This window comes from Homo sapiens, chromosome 5, assembly GCF_000001405.40.
Source record: "Homo sapiens chromosome 5, GRCh38.p14 Primary Assembly".
Taxonomy (NCBI): domain Eukaryota; kingdom Metazoa; phylum Chordata; class Mammalia; order Primates; family Hominidae; genus Homo; species Homo sapiens.
The window spans coordinates 126,385,061-126,405,713 of NC_000005.10; the positions used below are offsets into that span (position 1 = coordinate 126,385,061).

General features: G+C 36.4%; 1 protein-coding gene and 1 long non-coding RNA gene across 9 annotated transcripts in view; one reads left to right on the forward strand and one right to left on the reverse strand.

The window, feature by feature from the left end:
• The window catches only part of GRAMD2B (GRAM domain containing 2B), a 134,245-nt gene that overhangs the window by 24,941 nt on the left and 88,651 nt on the right, over nucleotides 1–20,653 (forward strand). The gene's annotated exons all lie outside the window — the stretch shown is intronic.
• On the reverse strand, nucleotides 1,198–9,547 carry LOC101927514 (uncharacterized). Of its 3 annotated transcripts, none has more exons than XR_001742874.3 (3): nucleotides 9,267–9,547; nucleotides 8,493–8,570; nucleotides 1,198–1,301 (listed from the first exon to the last, which is right to left on the reverse strand). It is a non-coding gene; the product is annotated as an uncharacterized LOC101927514 (long non-coding RNA). The 3 variants fall into 3 exon arrangements; XR_001742875.2 differs by lacking the exon at nucleotides 1,198–1,301 and adding an exon at nucleotides 4,306–4,388 and having other exon boundaries at nucleotides 9,353–9,547; XR_001742873.2 differs by lacking the exon at nucleotides 1,198–1,301 and adding an exon at nucleotides 4,306–4,388.

The following is a 20,653-nucleotide window of genomic DNA, read 5'->3' on the forward strand; positions in this document are numbered from 1 at the left end:
ACCTTCCCTGTTTGACAAGCAAGGCTGACCCTTGCTGGGAGTGCTGCTGACTTCACCCCAGGAGGGCTGAAGCTCAGCAGAACATTCAGGGCACACAAGTCACTAATATGCTCAATATAGGGAGAATAGCAAGTGGCAGATAAAATTATACCGCAGGCCTTATGATTCATAGTCCAGGAACTTTCCACTACTCCACAGGGATTTATTAATAGATCTGAATTCAGATTTGACTCTCAGCAATCCCAAATATTTTATTCTTGCAACTGGGAAAAGAGAGGGGAAAATTACACAACAAAAAGGATACTATGAGCAATATAGGCTTAAATTTTTACCTCCATAAATATAAATGTAAGTTAATTTTAGCTTAATTTCACATTGAATTCATTTGTTTAAAAATTAATTATGGTAAAGTTGAATTAAGTTACATAGGAAAGAGATAACCATTTACTTAAAGAAAACATCCATTTTTAATTTAATATTCCCTTACACATGCCACACACTTTCATATCTTCATGCCTCTGCTATTATTTTCTCTGTGCCGGAAATAACATTTTCCTCAAACAATACTTAGTCAAAAAGTATTTATTGTGTAATAAGGCACTAGAGATCCATTGGTGAATAAAACCAGTGTGGCAGGTTCTTATGTTGCTTATAATCAGAAAAAGACAGGCATTAAAGAGGATTCTGAGTGTCTTGAATACTGGGAAAGTAGAGTAGAAGGCAGAGGGAGCAATGGGGGGTGCAACCCAGTCCATGGAGTCGTAAAGCAGCAGTCCCTGAGGAAATGAAACAGAACATGAGACTGGAAGAGAGGGAGAGGGAGAGGTAGAATCCCATTTGTAGAAATAGCATTTGCTATTCTCTGTGGAAGAGAAAACACATTTCAAGTTGCTGAAAGAACACTGGGTCTCTGGAGCAGAGAGGGAGAGAGGGTTGGAGGAAATGAGGTAAAGCCCAGACACACTTTCCTCAAAGAGTAAACATGAAACTTCAAAGCTTAATTATCCCAAATTATAAACAAAATAAAACTCTCCAGGATTAATATCATCCTATTTGTTTTTCTTTTAGAGGTTGTATTTGGTTGACGTAGATGCTGATTTAGTAGTGACTCTTGTAATACATCATCTTTTGGGAAAAAAAGACATTCATTTCTTTTGTGTAGCTGGACATCACGGATCACCACCCAGGATCTGTCTGCTGATCCTTGCATGATTCCATGCTCTCCAACATTCAAAGGCAAATCCGAATTCCAAATCAGTCATTGATATGAACATGAAATCCCCAAGGAAGCACGTTCCAAGCTGAGTAAGAATGATAAGGGTTAGATGAGTTGTCAATTGCTTCACAGCATATTATGCCAAATCCTAGCCTCTTAAACAATGAGCATGTATTATCTTACACAGTATCTGTGGGTTCTGAATCTGGAAGTAAATTGGCTAGGTAGCTCTGGCTCAGGGACTTTCATGAGGTGGACAATCCAAGGCTGAGAATACCAAGAAGGGTGATCACTGGGGACCATCATGGAGGCTGGCCACCACAAAAACTCTGAATATTTCTAATCTGAAAGGCAGTATTTGGTGAAAGGACATTAGCCTTGGAGTTACTTGGATCTATATTTGAATCACAACTCTGCCACTTACTGCGCCACCTTAGCCCCATTAACTAATCTTTCTAAATTCCAGTTTTCTCATTTGTCAGATGGGGCTAATAGCATCTAGCTTATTGGACTATTCTGAGGATTAGGTACAGATAATTTTGGAGGCTGGCAAGTTGGAGGCACTGAAGAATTGTTATCACTATAGCTACAACATAGGTGAATTGTCACTGTAAAAACACAGTTGGAAGTCATTATCCACAAAACCTTATGTCAAATTCTAAGGTTTTGTTTTACCTATTTGTTTTATTATCACCATATATTCTTTTATAACCTAGTGAGAGCCAAACAAAGGGAAAACGAAAGGTGCATGAGGCTTTAAAAAATTATTTACTTTTATGTATTTGGATACATGTAAAAACCATAAGAATTTTAAGGGCCAAACTTGAAGAGTCAAAAAACTGTCAAGCTATTTCAGTTCTCCCATATGACTGAAGTCCATATTTTGATGACCTTAAGTAAACATGGAAATAAATAAATAATAATAAAGAAAATAGAAGGGGAAAGAAAAACCACCAATACTGAGCTAAGTGGGTTTCTTAAAATTTTAACTCTTCTGAAAAAAAAAAAGGATTATCTCTTTTTATAAAAAGACAAGTTCTGTCTCAAGTCAAAATAAAACTTTTTTTCCCAACATTGCTACTGGTTTATGAGGCTAAACAAATGTTCTGTACTCAGGAATTTGAGAACTGTGCTTTGGCTTGGTTTTAAATGTCTCTGGGCTTAGTTTATTTTCTGGAAATATAAGAATAAAGACACTAAGAGAAGATGGTTCTCCATCTGTATACTCAAAATATTATTTCTCTCTTATTGCTGCTATAACAAGAAATATATATATTTATGTATTTATAATTATATATATGTATATAATTTCTCCAAATTCATATGCTGAGAGTATAAGTGGAAAGGGTCCAGACCTGGCCCTGGCAGGCTTTTGTTTCCTGTGGCAAAGCACTAAGTCTCTCTTTTTTCTCATCTCACAAATGGAGAACAAATTGTAAACAGAATTTTGTCAGACAATGGAGGAACAGAAAGAAGAGAGAAAAAATCAACAGAGACTATATATACACATAAATTTATAAGCTCCTTCTGGGGAAAAAATGAAGAATTGTCTTTAGGGACTAGTTCATTCTTTTGGCATTTAAAAAAAATTTAGATAGTCACTATCTGAAGTGCTACATTTACTACAAAGCTAATGAAGCTGAAACTTCAGAGTCTGTCACTTGAATGAACTTCTTCTAATTCAATATTCATTGTTTGCACCTAATTTTGTGGGTTTTTTATTAAAGAAACCCCCTATACTATAAAACTTCAGGCCCTACAAAACTGAATCTGTCCCAGTTGCTACTGCTGTTAACTTAAAGATGCAATTTTCAGGCCTGGCACAGTGGCTCACACCTATAATCTCAGCATTTTAGGAGGCCAAGGCGGGTGATTCACTTGAGCCCAGGAGTTTGAGACCAGCCTGACCAACATGGCGAAATTCCATCTCTACAAAAAATACAAAAATTAGCCAGGTGTGGTGGCTCCTGCCTGTGGTCCCAGCTGCTTAGGGAGTTGAGGCAGGAGTATCTCTTGAACCCAGGAGATTGAGGCTGCAGTGAGCCATATTCATGCTACTGCACTCCAGCCTGGGTGACAAAGTGAGATCTTATCTCAAAAAATAAACAAACAAATTAATTAATTAAATAAAGATGCTGTTTTCAACCAAGACAAATTTTCTAAATATTATAATGAAGATTTTATGCCAGTAAGTGAGATGTTATTTACTAACATGTAGTTTAACAAACCTATACAAGAAGCTATCATTATGCTATGAAAGGTTTATTCCATTGTGGAATCAATCATTGATTCCTGGAAAATATGAATATGAAATTTATTCCCTACACAATCATCACATTTTTGGGAATATTCATCTTAATATAAGACGATCACGTTGTATAAGCCATGTAATTCAGCACACTAGATTATACAACATATTTGTAATGTAGAATTTTATTTTAGAGTAAATTATGGATAAATGTATCTTTATTTTCCTTCTTAAGAGAAAAAAAACCTATTGAATCTTTTAGTTATCTACATTATTATATACCACATTTGGGGGGTTTTGAAGAACTAAAGCTTCCAAAAATCCCAAAGTTACCAAAGAGGGTGGGGTGGGGGTGAGAATTGAAAAATTATCTATTAGGTACAATATTTACTATTAGGCTGATGGGCATACCAGAAGCCCAGACATCTCCACTTGGCAATATATGCATGTAAGAAACCTGACTGGTACCTCCTAAATCGATAAAAATCTAAAAATACAAAAAACCACAAAGTGACTTTACTAACAATAATTCTTATTTGCATGGAGAAGTAGCATAGGATAGTAGTTAAGAGCCCCAACTTCTTAGCCAGACTGCCTGAGCTCTAATGTCGTCTACATAACTTATCATGTTGCACTTTAGTTTGCTCTCCTGTTAAAGGAGGGGTGAAAGCTTACCCCTCATAGGGTTATTGTAAGGATTAAATGAATCACCTCATCTGTGAAGTGCTTAGAAAACTACCTACCACATATAAGCACTATAAAAGTGTTACTTGAAATACCTTTGGCTGGTTTCTAACTTGGACTGTCATCTCACATATTGCTTTATTAACCTGGGCAGTGATTTCGATCTTCTCTCCCGCTGTCATTCTTCCGTGAGCAAGGACACCTTGCTTCTAGATCACCTCCTGAATTGCCACACTTGTACTGGAAGAAATTATATTACTCATCCCTGTATCCTCCTAAGCTATTGTTTTATAGTCTTCTATTCTTAGTAAGAGCCCCTGAATGGTTTTTTTATTATTATTATTGCAAGTTAATACAGGAAAAACTAAAATAGAAAACTGTGTGCTTAAAATAAATGTTTCACAGCGTAAGATTATTATATGTTTTTTCAAAAGATGTTTTAATATTTGTTAAATTGCGCTGGGCACCGTGGCTCACACCTGTAATCCCAGCACTTTGGGAGGCTGAGGTGGGTGGATCACCTGAAGTCAGGAGTTCAAGACCAGCCTGGCCAACATAGTAAAACCTCGTTCCTACTGAAAATACAAAAATTAGCTGGATGTGGTGGTGCGTGCTTGTAGTCCCAGCTACTTGGGAGGCTGAGGCAAGAGAATTTCTTGAACCTGGGAGGTGGAGGTTGCAGTGAGCCAAGATCATGCCACTGCACTCCAACCTGCGCAACAGAGTGAGACTCTGTCTCAAAAAAAAAGAATTGTTAAATTGTCCACATTGGGAAATATAACTATGCCAATTGCTAACAAAGGGTTTTACTTTTGAAGATGAATAAAATAGTAAAATTTTAGGTTGAGTTGTTTATATAAAAATTACTGAAAGATGTCTTTATAGTACATATAAATAACCATATCTCTACTGGAAGGTGCCTCCTCATTTATTAGTCTACATGCCACAAAGAAATAGGCTGAACTGAGATGACTTGACTTTGAACTTTCACTGATATCTAGGTTGATAATAATAAAAAAGAATGTGTTTATTATGGCCCTAACCTGCTTCTGTACCCATGAACACCAAATGATTGAGACATGTATATAAAAGTTCTGAAGTCATGCTGTAAAGCATGGTAAATAGTTAACTGAAATGTCAAGTGACCTTTCCTACTTATATCCAACTGACAGGAAAGGAGTTTTGTTTGTTATTTTCTATGTAGTTATATAAATGGCCATTAATTAATGATAAATAATAATCACACATCATGATGAAATGTTCAGTTAGGCTGACACTACAGTTTTTTGGCCTAGGATTCTTCTTTAGACCCCAAAGAGGAATATCATTGTTTATTGCTGAAACCAGAAGAAATAAAATCATTCTGCAGTATATCTGTCAGGATTTTTTATGCTGCCAGAAAGTTATATAACCGTAAGTAAAGTAATTTCAGCAGCCTTTCATAAATGCAGCTGGAAGAGTGATAACTTTAATTCTGCTAGTCAATTCTTGAGTTGGTCCAGCCAGTTCCATAATCTCTTGATAAAATGATAACAACCTAACATTTACTAGATGTCTTCTGTGTGCCAGACGTCTCCTCCTAAACTCTTTTCACAAATAGGCTAATTTAAACTTCACAATAACCTTATGAAATAGGAACTATTATTACTCCATTTTCCATGTAGGAAACTGAGGCTTAAAAATATTCTGCCTAATTCCCGTAATAAAAGAGTTGGACTCTACATGAAAATTCTAAATTCCATACTCTAGCCACTTTGCTGTACTCCAACTCCTCCCACCTTTAATTTCCATCCATCATATAGTAACAGATTGGGCTTAAAGATGTAGACCTCCTAATGTTAGTGGGATGATTTAAAATCTGGTACAGGAGTTAGATGTGGCACCAAAAGCATGAGTGACAAAAAAATGAATCAGTTGAGGTCAGGAGTTTGAGACCAGCCTGGCCAACATGGTAAAACCCCATTTCTAGTAAAAATACAAAAATGAGCCAGGCGTAATGGCACACACCTGTAGTCCCAGCTACTCGGGAGGCTGAGGCAGGAGAATCGCTTGAACCCAGGAGGATTGTGCCACTGCACTCCAGCCTGGGCAAGAGAGGGAGACTCCATCTCAAAAAAAAAAAAAAAAAAAAACTTGTACACTGTTATTTGTCAGTTATAGCTCAACAAAGCTGAAATAAAACCTGTCCAAATAACAATAATGCTTGTACATGGATATCCACAGCAGTATTATTTATAATGCTGAAATAAAACCTGTCCAAATAACAATAACACTTGTACATGGATATCCACAGCAGTATTATTTATAATAGCCAAAAAATGGAGACAACTCAAATGTCATCTACTGATGAATAGATAAAATAAAATGTGGTATGTCCATGCAACGGAATATTATTTGGCAATAAAAAGGAATGAAGTACTATTATATGCCACAACACAAATGAAAGAAGCTAGTCATAAAAGGCCACATGATTTCATTTATATGAAAAATAGGCAAATCTATAGTGATGGCAAGTCAATTAGTTCCCAGGGACTGCAGGGAAGGAATGATGGGGATTGATTACTAATGGGTACAGGGTTTTTTGGGGAGGGTGATGAAAATGTTCTAGAATTGGTGGGGAAAGTTACACAATTCTGTTTGTGGTACTAAAATCACCCGAATTTTACCCTTCAAAAGGGTGAATTTTGTAGTATAGTGAATTATATCTCAATAAAACTATTATTTTTTAAAAGGTAAGAAAGATCCTTAAAAGGCATTTCTTTCTTGGAAGTTCATATTCTGTAAATACAAAGTAAGCAAATAATTTTTCCATGACTAAATTGGCTTGATGATTTTCAGAAAGACTGACATGCCTTTGCTAAACTATATCTTCTGGATCAGTATTTTATCTGACATTTAAGTTTTCCAAAACACTTCCCTTTTCTCTTTTCACTAAAATTGTGTAACGCTACAAAAGGGATGTATCAGGATGAGTACTGCAAGAAAAGGGGTTGTGTTCCCCAAGACCAGCCACACTCAGAGATTCACTAGAAGGACTCATAGAACTCACCATTATTCGACTCATGGCTAAGATTTCTTACAGTGACATAGTAAGGTGGATCACAGGGGGAAAGACACAAGTGGAGTCTGCAGGAATCCATGTACAGGCTTCCTTAGGCTCTTTCCCTCCCGTGATAGGGCACAGAGAGCACACTTTTGCACCAGCAACAAAAATGTAGCAATATGTGTGCAATATTTCTGCCCAGAGATGCCCATTAGCAACTCAGAACCAAAGATTTGTATTGGAGGCTGGTCACACAGGCACTCTCTAACCAATACATACCTCAAATTTGAGCTCCCAGAATAAAAGCAGGGGTTCAACATAAATCCTATTATTTGCATAGTTTAGACAAGTGGTCCGCAACCTTTTTGGCACCAGGGATTGGTTTTGGGGAAAACAATTTTTCTTCCATGAAAGAAAAATTCTTTTTCTTTTTTAAAATTATTCTTCTTTCATGGGAGGGTGAGGTGGGGGCAGGGGGTGCGGGATGGGAAACGGTTTCATGATAAAACTGTTCCACCTCAGATCATCAGGCATTAGTTAGATTCTCATAAGGAGCACTGACCCTAGATCTCTCGCATGTGCAGTTCGCAATAGGGTTTGTGCTCCTATGAGAATCTAATGCCACCACTGATCTGACAGGAAGCAGGTTGAGGACCCCTGAATTAGAATCTATTTGAAAAATAAAGTGGAAGGTCATCTTTCTTACAGAACAATAAATTTCTGTTTCATAGGAATTATTTAACTTCTGAACAGTTTGTTACAAAATACATAATTACACCGCAGGACTCAAAGTTCACGCAAGAAAATGGTTTAAGGACTGAGTGGGTACTTGGAATTTCTTAGACAACCTACCTTCACTACCTTTTCCCTTTTTTCTCCCCTTCCTCTGTTTCCCTTCCCTGCTTTCACCCATCAGCTTCATCCCCTTCACTTTCCCCTTTTCCATCACGACCATCTCCCCAATTATAAACTGACTAATTTCAAAACATTCAAATCACTGTAAAAATTGTTTCCTTTTACAATTTTATTTCACAGGTCTTCCAAGTGTAAAATATTATCTCACTAATAGATGTATTCTCATAAAAATTTTTACATGTTTGCATATACATGTACCTGCATCTTCCAAATTAATAACTTGATTTAAAAATTATCTTCAGAAAATATCAAAGTTCATGGAAATAAATAAAATTTTTTGCCAAATTGCAACTTCAGCCCTTTGACAAAAATATATAGTAAATTCTTATTTAGCAGCAGCATTTAAATACTACAACATTTCAAAAATCTTCAAAGTTCCACCTTACCTGTAAGGCATGTGGAAACCCAACTTCTCCAGAACCAGACTTAGTGGTCAATTATCTTGAACCTCCAAATAAGTCAACCTGGAAGCAAGACACAACATATGGAACCATTTGCAGACCATACCAGCCCCAAGATAACAATTATCTCCCACTTCAATTGCCTTCCACTGAGGCAGGGTTTTACTAAGAATAAAATGGTTCTCCCTAAAGCACTGGAAAAAAACAATGTTTCCTCGAAAAAAATGAAAAAGTTAATTTGATAGCAAAGAGCATGAACAGACTCTAGAAAGCATAAGATCATAATCCCACACAGACCAGGCCTTCCATGAACCATCCTGAGTACCATGTAAAGGTGACTATCTGGTATGTGCTCAGAAGGGACCATATGAGAGTATCACAAGACACTCATAACTATGTCAATTGTTAAAAAACTAGGAATATTAGGCCAGGCGCGGTGGCTCACACCTGTTAGCCCAGCACTTCGGGAGGCCAAGGCGGGCAGATCACGAGGTGAGGAGATCGAGACCATCCTGGCCAACACGGTGAAACCCTGTCTCTACTAAAAATACAAAAAAATTAGCCGGGAGTGGTGGCGGGTGCCTGTAGTCCCAGCTACTCGGGAGGCTGAGGCAGGAGAATGGAGTGAACCCGGGAGGCAGAGCTTGCAGTGAGGCGAGATGGCGCCACTGCAGTCCAGCCCGGACGACACAGCAAGACTCTGTCTCAAAAAAAAAAAAAAGAAAAGAAAACTAGGGATATTAGTCTGCAGAGGCAAACCTCAGAGGTCAGGTGGAGAAAGTAGGGCATGAGTATCAGTTCAGGTATTTAAAGGTTTGTTATATGGTAGAGTAAATCTACATGACCTGACGAGCTAAAACTGGAACAAACAAGTGGGAAGAGATGACAGTCCAATCATTGTAAAAAAGAACTCTGAGGCCTGGCTGCTTTGAGCCATAATGAGCTGCCTGTAGCTGGAAGTGTTAAAGTCTTTGATTGATTCATTCAATATTCTACATTCCATTTCAATATTCTGCATTCCATTTCAATATTCTGCCTTCCATTTCAATATTCTGCATTCCATCCAATCTTTACTCTGGAGACGGGACATTGGCTCTACACACGTGAGTGAAATAGTCAGGGTTCCTGCTCTCATCTAACTTAGATTCTGATGGTGTGATTTCAGATATTTAGAGGAAATTTAAATATACATACAGATAGAAACTGTGAAATGTTTTGTAATCTCAAGAAACTGTAAATGTATTAAATAAAAGCCATGGGTTTTTCTACATTTGGAGTACCATAAATATGTTTTTTTTCTGTCCAAGAGTGAGCCAGCCAAACTAATAACGCTTAGCTAAGAAACATCCTAAGGCTAGCTCAGAGATTATTTTGGATACTATTGAAATTTGGGCATTAAAGTTATAACTGTGGGTCTCCAAAGTATATTAATGAAGAAGACTCAAAACCATTCTCTTAAAGTGAGCCAGTTATTGTCAGCCTTTTGCTTTTGGTTGCAGTTCTTATAACTTAGAGTTACACTTTTTTTTTTGTTAGAAGATACTTTTCCTTCAGAAAAATAGAATAATAATGTTTTATAATTAGGAAAGAAACATAAGACTGGTTAAAAACACATGAAAAGGGATTTTTAAAATACAGTTAATATCTAAGTCTCAGAATTAAATTAATACACAAAACTGCTTAAGTACAATCTATTCTTGCCTATTAGTTATAATCATGAAGTTCATTTTTTAACCATCTCTTAGTCAGCATATTTCAAGATAAGATCGCTTTAATCTGAATTAAACAACTATGGTCTGAGCCTGAAGTCCCCGGCTGGTTTGGAATTATGCTGTCTTGTGGATGAAAGCCCTCATAGTTTGCCTGGTCTGACACAAGGCTGGGGAGAGAAGCAATGGGGAAATTCCAGAGGTGACTCTCACTGAACCTCCCAGCATGGCTCCAGGCAACACAAAATTCACAAACATGTCTTGATGGGAAATGAACTTGCATTCACAAACATTCACTTTATTTTTTTATGCTTTTTTAAATTGCTAAGATGAATCCAAAAAAATCTATTAGTAAACTCTGTATTAATCAATTTTAGAATGCCAGAAGTTTAAAAGAGAAAAAGAACAAACGTCGGGGACTGAAAATTCAAAAGCAGCAAGAGAGAGCCTGCTACTCAGTTTCCAGAACAAGAGGGAGGGAGTGTCTGTGTGTGTGTGTGCGCGCATGCACATGTATATGTGTTTCAGTTTTATTGAGGTATAGTTGACAAATTAAATTGTACATATGTATAAGGTGTATGATGTGATGTTTTGATATACACATACATTGTGAAATGATTACCACAATTGAGTTAATTAACATATCCATTACCTCACATAGTTACCTTTGATTTGTGGGTGTGTGATAAGAACACTTAAGTCCACTATCTTAGCAAATGTGAAGTATACAATATACCAGCAGTGTAAAAGGGTTCCCTTTTCTCCACATCCTCACCAACACTTATATTTTGTCATTTTTATAAAAGCCATCCTAACAGGTGTTAGGTAATATCTCATCATGGTTTTATTTGCATTTCCTTGATGATTAGTGATGTTGAGCAAATTTTCTTTCTTTTTTTCAATTTAACTTTTATTTTAAGTTCAGGGGTACATGTGTAGCCTTGTTACATAGGTAAACCTATGACATGGGGGTTTGTTGTACAATTATGTTGTCACCCAGGTATTAAGCCTAGTACTCATTAGTTATTTTTCCTGATCCTCTCCCTACTCCCACCTTCCATCTACCAATAAGCCCCGGTGTGTGTGTTTCCCCTCTATGTGTCCATGTGTTCTCATCATTTAGCTCCCAGTTATAAGTAAGAAAATGCAGTATTTGGTTTTCTGTTCCTGTGTTAGTTTGCTAAGGATAATGGCCTCCAGCTCCATCCATGTTCCTGCAACGGACATGATCTCATTCTTTTTTATTACTGCATAGTATTGCATGGTGTATATGTACCACATTTTCTTTATGCAGTTTATTGTTGATGGGCATTTATGTTGATTCCATGTCTTTGCTATTTTGAATAGTGCTGCAATGAACATACATGTGCATGTATCTTTGTAATAGAATAATTTATATTCCTTTTGGTATATACCCAGTAATGGATTGGTAGGTCGAATGGTATTTCTGTCTTTAGGTCTTTGAGGAATTGCCACACGTCTTCCTCAATGGTTGAACTAATTTACACTACCACCAACAGTGTCTAAGCAGTCCTTTTTCTCAGCAAACTCACCAGCATCTGCTATTTTTTGACTTTTTATAATAGCCATTCTGACTGGTGTGAGATGGTATCTCACTGTGGTTTTGATTTGCATTTCTCTTATGATCAGTGATGTTGACCTTTTTTTCACATGATTCTTGGCCACAAGTTTGTCTTCTTTTGAAAAGTGTCACTTCATGTCCTCTGCCCACTTTTTAATGGGGTTGTTTGTTTGTTGTTTGTTTCTTGTAAATTTAAGTTCCTTGTAGGTGCTGGATATTAGACCTTTGTCAGATGCATAGTTTGCAAAATTTTCTCCCATTCTGTAGGTTGTCTGTTCATTCTGTTGATAGTTTCTTAAAGGGAAAGCGTTCAGTTTTTCCCCATTGTTTAGGATGTTAGCTGTGTGGTTTTCATTTGGACTTTTATTTTATTTATTTATTTTTGAGACAGAGTCTGGCTCTGTCATCCAGGCTGAAACAGAGTGGTGTGATCTTGGCTCACTGCAACCTTCACCTTCCAAGCTCAAGCCATGCTCCCATCTCAGCCTCTTGCGTAGCTGGGACTGCAGGCATGCACTACCACGCCTGGCTAACTTTTGTATTTTTTGTTGAAATAGAGTTTTTCCATGTTGCCCAGCCTGGTCTTCACTCCTGAGCTCAAGTAATCCACTCAACTCAGCCTCCCAAAGTGCTGGGATTATAGGTGTGAGCCTCCACACCTGGCTTTGACGTTTATTTTCTTAAGTTCCTTCTATATATATTTTATTGACAGTTTTAATCATGAAAGGATGTCGAACTGTGTCAAATGCTTTTTCTGTGCCTATTGAGACAATCATGTGGTTTTCTTCTTTCATTTTGTTAATGTGTTGTATCACATTTATTGATTTGCATATGTTGAACTAACCTTGCATCCCAGGAATAAATCCCACTTAATCATGATATATGGTCCTTTTAATGTACTATAAAATTTAGTTTGCTAGTTGAAAATTTTTGTATCTGTGTTCATCAGTAATGTTGGCCTGTAGGATTATTTTCATACAGTGTCATTGTCTGGGTTTGGTAGCAAGATGATGATGGCCTCATAGAAAAAATTTGGAAGTGTTCCCTCTTCTATTTTTTTGGAAAAATTTAAGATGGACTGCTATTAAGTCTTCTTTGAGTGTTCAGTAGAATTACCTATGAAGTCATTGGTCCTTGAATGTTTTTTCGTTGTTGGGAGATTTTTTTTTTTTTTTTTTTTTTTGAGATGGGGTCTTGCTCTGTCACCCAGGATGGAGTGCAGTGGTATGACCATAGCTCACTGCAGCGTCAACCTTCCAGGCTCAAGTGATCCTCTCACCCCAGCCTTCCAAGTTTCAGGGATCACAGTCATGCACCACCATGCCAACTAATTTTTTTATTATTGTAGAGAAAGGTCTCTCTATGTTGCCCAGGCTGGTCCTGAACTCCTGAGCTCAAGCAATCCTCCCATCTCAGTGGAAGATTTCTTAATACTGATTCAATCTCCTTATTTGCTAGTGGTCTGCTCAGGTTTTCTGTATCTTCATGATTCAGTTTTGGTAGGTTTTATGTTTCTAGGAATTTCTTCTAATTTACCCAGTTTTTTGGCATATGATCATTCATAATAATCTTTTATGGTCCCTATTATTTCTTAGATATTTGTTGTAATGTCTCCTCTTCCAATTCTGATTTTAATTATTTGAGTCTTCTGTCTTTTTTCTTGGTTACTCTGTCAATTTTGTTTAACTTTTTAAAAAACCAACTCTTAGTTTCATTGATTTTTTTCTCTATTTGATTTACATTGACTCTAATCTTTATGATTTCCTTCCTTCTGCTAACTTTGGGCTTAATTAGTTGAGGTTTTTTTCTAGTTTCTTAAGGTATAAAGTTAGATTGTTTATGCAAAATCTTTCTTCTTCTTTAAAGTAGGCATTCATCACTATAAACTTTCCTTTTAGAACTGCTTTTTCTGTATCTCATAGGTTTTGGTATGTTGTGTTTCATTTTGCTTTGTCTGGAGATGCTTCTTAAGTTATCTTTTGAGTTTCTTTTACACCCAATGATTATTTAGGAGTGTGTACTTTAATTTCCACATATTTGTGAATTTTACAGTTTTCTTGCTGTTATCTCTAGTTTCATTCCATTGTGGTTGGAAAAGATTCTTGGAATGATTTTGACTTTATTGAATTTGTTAAGACTTATTTTGTGACCTAATATGTGATCTATCCTGGAGAATATTCCATGTGCACTTGTGAAAAATGAGTATTCTGGTACTGTTGAGTGGAAAGTTCTATGTAAGTCTGTTAGGTACATTTGGTCTACAGTGTTTTTCAAGTCAGATGTTTCATTATCAATTTTCTGTTTGGGTGCTCTATCCATTAGTGTAAGTGGGGTATTGAGGTATCCTACTATTATAGTATTGCTCTTAATTTCTGTCTTTAGATCTGTCAATATTTGCTTTATATAATATATTTAGGTCCTCTGATATTTTGTATATATGATATGGTTTAGCTCTGTGTCTCCATCCAAATCTCATCTTGAATTGTAATCCCCACATGTCGAGGGAGGCATCTAGTGGGAGGTAATTGGATCATGGAGGCAGTTTCCCCAGTTGGATCATGGAGGCAGTTTCCCCTGTGCTGTTCTTGTAATAGTGTGTGAGTTCTCACAAGTTTAAAAGTGTTTGGCAGTTCCTCCCTTTTGCTCTCTCCTCCCACCATGTAAGACATGTCTTCCTTCCCCTTCGCCTTCCACCATGATTGTAAGTTGCCTGAGGCCTCCCCAGACATAAAGAACTGTGAGTTCATTAAACCTCTTTTGTTTATAAATTATCCAGTCTCAGGCAGTTCTTTATAGCAGTGTGAAAATGGGCTAATACAATATATTTATAGTTGCTATATCTTTCTGTTGAATTGACCCTTTTAACATTATACAGTGATCTTTCACTCGAGACAGTTTTACATTTAAAATCTATTTTTTTCTTCTATTGTCATTCCTGCTTTCTTTTGGTTACCATTTGCATGAAATATCTTTTTTTAGCCATTCACTTTCATGTATGTCTTTAAATCTAAAGTGAATCTCTTGTAGACAGAATATTACTGGATCCCATTTTCTTAATCCATTCAGCCACTCTATGTCTTTTTATTGATGAGTTTAATCCATTTACATTCATAGTAATTATCAATAATACAGGACTCATTATTGCCATTTTGTTAATTATTTTCTGTTTTATGGTTCCTTTGTTCCTTTCTTTGTGATTTGATTTTTTTTTTTGATAGCGGTATGTTTTGAATCCTCTCTCTTTATCTTCTGTATGTCTACTAGAGGTTTTTCTTAGATTTAAAGACACACATGAAAGTGAAAAGATAAAAAAAGATACTTCATGCAAATGATAACCAAAAGAAAGCAGGAGTGAGTATAGAAGAAAAAATAGATTTTAAATCTAAACTTCATGGTAATCACAAGGAACATCTTATAATTATGTTATAACAGTTAGCTTATTGTAAGCTGATAATAACTCCAATTTCATACAAAAACTCTACACTTTTATTTCTCACACATACAGTTTATGTTATTAATGTCACAATTTATATCTATTAATATCATGTATCTATTAACAAATTATTATAGCTGTAGTTATTTTTAATACTTTTGTCTATTATCTTTTTATACTAGAGTTAGAAGTGATGTACACACTGCCAATCACAAGATTAGAGTATTCTGAATTTTACCATATACTTATCTTTACCAGTGAGTTACACATTTTCATATGTTTTCATGTTACTAATTAGCATCTTTCATTCAACATGAAGAATGCCCTTTACTTTTCTTATAAGGCAGGTCTAATGGTGATGAATTCCCAGTTTTGTTTGTCTGGGAAAGTCTGTCTCTCCTTTATTTCTGAAGGACAGCTTTATCAAGTATGGTATTCTTGGTTGGCAGTTTTTTCTTTCAGCACTTTGAAAATATCATCCTACTCTCTCCTGGCATGCTAGTTTCTGCTGGTAAATCTTCTGATAGTCTTATATACATTCCCTTGTATGTGACAGGTAACTTTTCTCTTGCTGTTTTCAAAACACTCTGTCATTGACTTTTGATCATAATGTGTCTCCATATAATCTTCTTCAGGTTGATCCCGTTTGGAAACTTCTGAGCTTCATGAACGTGATGTCCATATCCCTCCCCAAGATTTGGGAAGTTTTCAGCCAATTTTTTAAAAATAAGCTTTCTTCCCATTTCTCTTTTCTTTCAGAGGCTCTCGTAATGCATATATAGGTTTGGTTGATGGTGTTTTATAAATCTCTTAGGCTTTCTTTACTTTTTAAAATTCTTTTTTCTTTCTTCTTTCAATCTCCCTGGATTGAAAAATAACATATGATGTGTCTCTGAGTTCACAGATTCTTTCTCATGCTTGATCAAGTTTGTTGCTTAAGCTCTCTATTGAATTTTTCAGTCCAGTAATTGTGTTCAGCTCCAGAATTTGTTTGGTTCTTTTTTATTATTTCTATCTTGCTGTTAAACTTCTGATTTTGTTCATGTATTGTTTTTCTGAGTCAGTAAGTTGTCTATCTGTGCTGTTTTATAGCTCACTGAGCTTTCTTAAAATAATTATTTTTAATTCTTTGTCAGAAATTCATAGGTCTCCATTTCTTTGGGTTCAGTTACTGGAATATTACTGTGTTCCTTTGGTGGAATCATGTTTCCTTGATTTTTTTTCATGTTTTTTGAAGTCTTTCATTGCTATCTTCACATTTGAAGAATCAGTTAGCTCCTCCAGTCTTTACTGACTGGCTTCAAGAGAGAAAGACCTTTACCAGTCATCCAAGCTAGAAATTTGCAGGGCCTCTTAAATCTTTTCTGTGGATGCACCTGCTCCACTTCTCTTGTTCCAACAAGGAGTGTTTTATGGAAACATCTGAATATAGATCTGCTTTACCTAGCACTTAGAAAAGTTTACTACCATATAGAAAAATGATAGCTTACATTATTACACAGTGTTTTGGGTAGACATTAAATACTGTATCTTGAGTAGACCATATCTACTCAGCTTAGTCAAGATATCACTGTTGCTGATTGACTCAGACAATTAAATATTGAGGTAACCCTGTCATCCCAGGTCATATACCGGGGTCACTCTAATCCCAGCAAGTGACACAGCAAATTGGAAAGTGCCTGGTTCACTGGTAGGCTTTCAAATTCTAACAAAACAAACTTACTGGTCATATATAGCTGAGAGTCTATTTTGTGACTGCTGAATTAGCCACAGGGAAAATCAAAAGCCTAGGTAGGGAGGCCCAGCTGAATTGGTTTTCAGCCTCCATCCTGTTCTAGTATCAGCACTCACATCCAGTGCCTTCAATAGCATCCTTCCTTTTTATGTATCTGTAGGGCTTCTACCAGCATCCTTGCTGGGACTCCAGGCCATCACTATGGTTTCCTGTCACCCACCCTAAGTGGAAAAAGGAAAAGTGGAAGAATTTTCTCTCCAAGTGTACCATTCTTTTAGCCAATGCAGAAAGCCTGGCTTACTAAGAAATAAGCTCACTAATAATAACACTTAAGGCTAATGAACCCAAGGGTTGGCTAACCTAGGAAGGAAATACTACCTTGGTAAATACCACCTTGAATTATAAACTGAGCCTTCATTCCAGGACAACACCAACCTCTTCAAAGAATGTAATTCTGCTCTGTCTCTGAGTAGGGTCCCTGCAGCTCAGAACTCAGTCTGAAGACTGGAACCACCTTTATAATTTTCTTATTTGATACATTATCTCTTTGACAGATCCACAATCACTTACCCACAATTCTGAGATAGAAGGGTTACTGAACACCAAACAACTTTTATAATTTTACAAGCAGAACCTCAATTTATGTGATGTAAGGCTATGAGCAGTATCTATTTATCTCACTTTGTGGGAATAGTCTTACATTTAGCCAAAGAAATATTATTGTGTTGAATTACAGGCCAAGGATATTATGTAATATACAGCATATGTGTCATATTACCTTTCTAAGATCCAAAAATATCTCTGAACTCCAAAACACATCTGGCCCCATGAGTTTTGGATAAAGGCCTAGGAATCTGTAGTAAATTCAGAATTTGTTCTAGAATATTCCTTCTCTTTTCCATAGGGGCTGAGATAATTATGTAGAATGTGAGGCTAAAAGGAGAGGGTCACATAAGGAATTAGAAATCTTCATAATGTAATGGGGAAGTTAGTAGGAGGCAAGTATTTTTATAGAGCCAGGAGTTAGGATCAAGTCTTTCCAAAGCAATGAAGAAGATGCCATTTCCTCCTTGGCAGCCAGTTCTACATCTCTCTGAATACCATTTGACTAATATTCACACAGAAAGAAATATATTTCTTAATTCAGTGTAGAGGTCACCTTGGGATAAGAAGTACCTTCTCCACATAAACAAGTTTTTAAAAAATGATTTGATTCCCAAGCTAACCCAGAAAAGTTTGCTACTGGAGTAGTTAAAACAGTAGAATTTGCAATATGTGATAAACTCATTTTATGAGCAAACCTAGGAATCTGAGTTCTTTCCACATTACTGTTTATGTAGGAAAATATATTTGGCATCCTAATAATGAATTACAAAATGCCATGTGGAACACAATGCACTTCTACGTTGGCTGTTGCCTGTACTATGCAGAGTGTTTTTCTGATTAATTAAGTCATCACTTATTGCTCAGAAATATTTATTGAGCACTCGTAATAGGTACTAGAAATAAAGGGCTCAGCAGAAAAGAAAATGAACCATCCTTTACAAAGTTTAGGCTCTAGGGGAAAAAAGAGCAGGGGGGAAAAAATTTTAACAGTTTAAAATAAACTCATCTTAATGTAAAATTGAGTGTTTAATACAGTTACATATTTTGTTGTAATTTTATTCAAAACCTTCCTATACTGAGTTTCCTCTTACTTAAGGCAACTTATATCTCCACACACTGAAAGACTTACGCAGAGGAACATAAAAGTCTCTAAACTTTCACAAAGGTCAGAAAGATTTTCTAAATACATATAATTATCCCCCAAGTTCTGCTAATAAGGAAGAGGCTATCTGGAACAAACCAACTTATAAAGTTCACAGTGGAATAATAGCATCATTTTTTCAAGCATTAGATGTTGAGCAGTATTTAAATCTTAATACAGATGAAATTTGTTGTTTCAAAAAAAATCCACCACTTTGCCAAAAAAGGATGGAATGCTAAAGTCTGATAGCTATTGTCCACATTTTTAGAAGGTTTGTCACAAAGTTCTACATACCATACTTTTGAAAACAATTGTGGTGCTATGGAAATGCTAATGTTAAATTCTCTGAGTGGAAATCAAAAGACAATAGCTACCTCCCCTGAAATCAGGAAATCCCAGGATTGTACAGTCTCAACACAACCCAAGGAAATGAAACCCTTTTTGTGATTGTAATATTTGGTAGAGAGGGAAAATGTCAAGGAAAGCAAAAAAAGTTAAGCCCCTTTTTTTCTTTGTGGTAGCTAGTAGAGGGAGTTAAAAGTACCAGTGTCAACAGAAATGGGAAGCTGTGTGTAAAAAGCACATATTAGGATTACTTGTTACCTTAGACCAGTTTGCATCAAGGACATGATGCCAAGAATAGAAAGTCAGTGCATGCTTGATGTTAACCCCCTAAAGGAACAACAAACAAATAACCAATTCCTAAGTGAAATCATGGTCATATGCAGCTACTCCTATATTTTCGGATTCCTAAAAGAAATGAGGAATACAGGGAGAAAATGCCAGCCTGGAAATCAACAATCAGGATCCTCAAGAGTAGCAGATTATGACAGGGGAGTCTTGGATTCTATACTTGATAGAGTCGTTAACTGGGAAAATTTGGAAAGTCATTAACTGGGAAAACCAAATTCATCCAATACGCCTTTGTTCCATGTCTAGAATGATTAAGCATTGATCTTGGCACTAAGAGGAGGAGAGGAAGAGGAGTGCATTACAAAGGTGTATAAGACACCATCTCCATGTCAACAGGTAGACAACCCTGTACACATGTAACAATAAATCACAGAAGAAGAATTATACAACATAATAACAAAAAATAAATCATGAATACTCATAGGACACTTTCTACAGGTCACATCCCATTCTAAAGACTCTCCATATTTTAATTATCACAACCACTCTTTCATTTTCTACACTGAGGAAACCAAAGCTCAGAGAGGTCAAGTTACTTACTCAAGGTCACACAAATTATAAGTGGTAGATCATGGATTTAAACCCAGGTTCCAGAGGCTGCTTACTCTTAACCACCCATAATGAAACATGCAAAAGATTTTAATCCTGACTATGACTGGGGATGCAGAATAAGGTGAGGAGGTAGGAAGAGGAGTAGAGGAAGAGTCTGGGAAGAACTGGTAGTTGAGTTCTGTGTTGCCCATTTGGACCCAATATAACCTCCCTGGATGCTGTTTATCTCCAAACAAATGGGATTGATGACATTATCTCTAAAATCCCTTTGGCTCTTTTAAGTACTTCTTAATTCATCTGTGACATCACCAGAGATAGTACATTGTGGGAAAAGAGCAACCTTTGAAAACCAACACAACTAAATTATCAGTTGTGTGATTTGGGTGAGTTATTTGCCATTCCTGAACCTAAGCTTCCTCAATGGTACAATAAGACAATCCTCACAGAGTTGTAAAGATTAAATAATCTGTGCGAGGCACAGTGCCTGGCACAGAGGAAGCACTCAATTAATTTTACTCTCCCCACTCCCTTTCTTTTGCTTTAATTGCATATAATCTCAGTCCTTGAATTCACCTAAGTCTAGTGAACCAGATCATTACATGATTAGCTACACATTATTAGAATACCCTTTGGCAGTAGATGGCAAAAGACAGTCTCCTTGAGGATATCCTTTTTTTTTTTTCAATCTAGAAATT